This window comes from Homo sapiens, chromosome 15 (genome assembly GCF_000001405.40).
Source record: "Homo sapiens chromosome 15, GRCh38.p14 Primary Assembly".
In the NCBI taxonomy this organism is placed as follows: Eukaryota; Metazoa; Chordata; class Mammalia; order Primates; family Hominidae; genus Homo; species Homo sapiens.
In genome coordinates, this window is record NC_000015.10 from 95,950,741 (window position 1) to 95,953,761 (window position 3,021).

Here is a 3,021-nt window from a genome sequence, read left to right on the forward strand (position 1 = left end):
CATTACCCTTTAAAAAATTTTTTTTTTACTATTTTAACAGCTCATTTTGTGGAGAAGTCTTTATTACATTGTCCAAAACACACCTCTGAAGGACTTCAAGGCTAACTATGTGCTATCATGAAAAAGCGTGAGTTTTCAATCAAAATACCTCAAGGTCCAAAATCCACCTGAGAAACTCAGAACAGATGAACTTAAACTCTGATTCTCAGTTTCTTTATCTGTAAAATGTGGGCAATAAAACAGATCTTACAAGCGCATCATAAAGATTAAGTGAGAGCAAAACTTAGGTGAAACAGTTAAAAGTTAAATGAGATAGCATAAGTGGTGGATACAGAGTAGCAAATACAGACCCCCCACCCCCACCCCCATATAAACACACATACATTCTCCTAACTTGTGGTTCTACTCTTGACCTTGGAATGTTGCTGTGTTATTTCCCACCCGACACCCAACTAACTATTGGAAGGCATGGGCTCTTTGGCCAGGTTCCACAGCCCCAGTTGCGATGACCCTATCTCACACCCCTCAACACCTCAGTTATTCTCTGGGTATCCTTCATTTTCTCATATCCTTCTCAAAGATGCACACATAACTTCTAAGCTGTGGGTTAACTAACGTGGGGAAAGTGGATATTCTGTTTTTTGAGAACCTCTCATTAATTCAGTGTAAGACACATCAAAAGCCTGGTAATTATTAAGGAAGAGCAGGGTCAATTTGTAACACAGAGTGTCAAAAAGAGAGTCAGGATAGTGCCCTCCCTTGGTCATCACCTGGCTTGACCAGGGTTGATTGTCCACTGTCCACATTACACAACTGTAAGCACAAGTCCTGCCATTCCTGAATTGGAAACAATTATACTCTTTTGATCCCTACTTGCTTGCTTTTGTATATAATAACACTTGGTTTAAAATGACTAGGTCTAGTCTCCAAATTCCTTTTGTAAATACAACAGGATTTTTCAGAAGAGCTTTCAAGAAAGGAAGTGAGAGAAATCTACAACAGCTCAGCCAAGTTTCTCCTAAATTAAACATCAATTTTAGAAATCAGGAACCAAGTGTGTTGTCCAAGACTTGAACCATAATTTGAAAAATATTTTTTAAAAAACAGAATATTAGTTTTTCAGCCTAGAAATAATAAACCCATCTTCATGAATAGAAATAATTGTGCAATATGTCAATTGATCAAGGCAGAGAGTCTATAAAAGCAAAAGCCCCTTTTGGGATGTAACTCTCAACTTGTTCACTGAATGCTTATATTCCAATTCACTGGCATGAGCATTCACAAAATCAAAACTTTGAGAAGAAATTAACTTCCTTTGAGAGACTCCATGACCCAATATGAAAGCAAGATAACATAATCTAAATCAAGCTCAAAATTATTTAAGGTAGTCATATTGTATTAGTCTGTTTTCACTCCGCTGATAGAGACATACCCAAGACTGGGTAATTTATACAGAAAAAAAGAGATTTAATGCACTCACAGTTCCATGTTGCTGGGGAGACCTCAAAATCATGGCGGAAGATGAAAGACATGTCTTCCATGGTGGTAGGCAAGAGAAAATGAGAGCCAAGCGAAAGAAGACACCCCATTATCAAACCATCAAATCTCATGAGCCTTATTCACTACCACGAGAACAGTATGGGGGAAACCACCTCCATGATTCAATTAACTCTCACCAGGTCCCTCCAACAACATGTGGGAATTATGGGAGCTACAATTCAGGATGAGATTTGGGTGGGGACACAGCCGAACCATATCACATGTCTAGCTTCCTGTGTCTCCAGATTTGGAGCTACTACAGATTATGCAAATAGCTTAGGAATATCCATCAGACCTCTTGTATCCACTTTGAATCTGAAGTGAAACAGAAACTTTTTAATGGCAAGGAGTTTCTTGATCAAATTTCATCCATCAGTTCCACTGCTAATTCTGGTGGCAGTGAGTTTGACTATCATGGCCTCTGGTCTCCCCTCTGTAATTTTCCAATTTGGTCAAGATGCTTCTACACTAAGCACCAGGGCGCCTTCCAATATGATCACACAGGTAATTACAGTGCTTGTTTATTTCTCTTGTACACCAGACTGAAAGCTCTGGAGAAACTGAGGCCATGGCTGATTTGTTGTTGCCTCTTTAGAATCTAAAACATAGCAAGTGTCCAGTAAATGTTGAATAAATTGTTTTTACAAAAAAAGGTAATGAATTTTCTTGAGAACTCAGAGCTAAGAGGAAAAACAGAAAGCCTATCTACTTCTCATTCTCGGAATGTATGCTCTGAAAGTTAAATGCTTTCTTTGTGCACCTAGCAGCACAGGTCATAACAGAGGGGCTCAATAACTATCCAACTAAGCTTTGGGGGTTAAAAACAAAAAAGAAGTGTAGGTGAAATGAAGTGCACAGAGGCAGGGTGAGAGGAATGCTATGTAACACTTTGCTGAAGAACAGTTGACAGCTGGGATATAACGTCAGAGAGAAGATCAACCCAACATGTGGTTATCAGACCGTAGGTGGATCCATTTCAGTAAAAGCATTTGCAGTCAGGGCCCAAAGATACAGGCTTGGAAATTAAAGCTGGGAAAACATAAACAAAAAAACCCACGAAGCTACGAGGGTAAGGGTTCTGGAAGGGTTTTGGTTGCAAGCAGACATGATTCCAACCCAACTGAATCACTTAACACATCAAGGGTGATCTTATGCTTAACAGCTCTCACTCTCCTTTAAAAAAAAAAAAATCTGTGAACTGGTAACAGTAAGATATGTCCTATGTGGCTTTTATAAGAAGGAATGGCATAGGCAGATAATGAGCTTGACAGGATGAAAGGTTTTAATGTTATTCCTGTTTTTAAGAAAAGCATGGATAAAATATGCACAACGGTAGGTCATGGGCAATAGAAACTGCACAAAAAAGCCAGATGCAATGCCATCTGCAGTCACAGAAGACAATTGAAAATGTGCTTGTGAGAACAAAGGCCTTTCATCAAGTCCTCATATGATGGTCCTTGGTTCTCAGGTCTAGAAAGTACT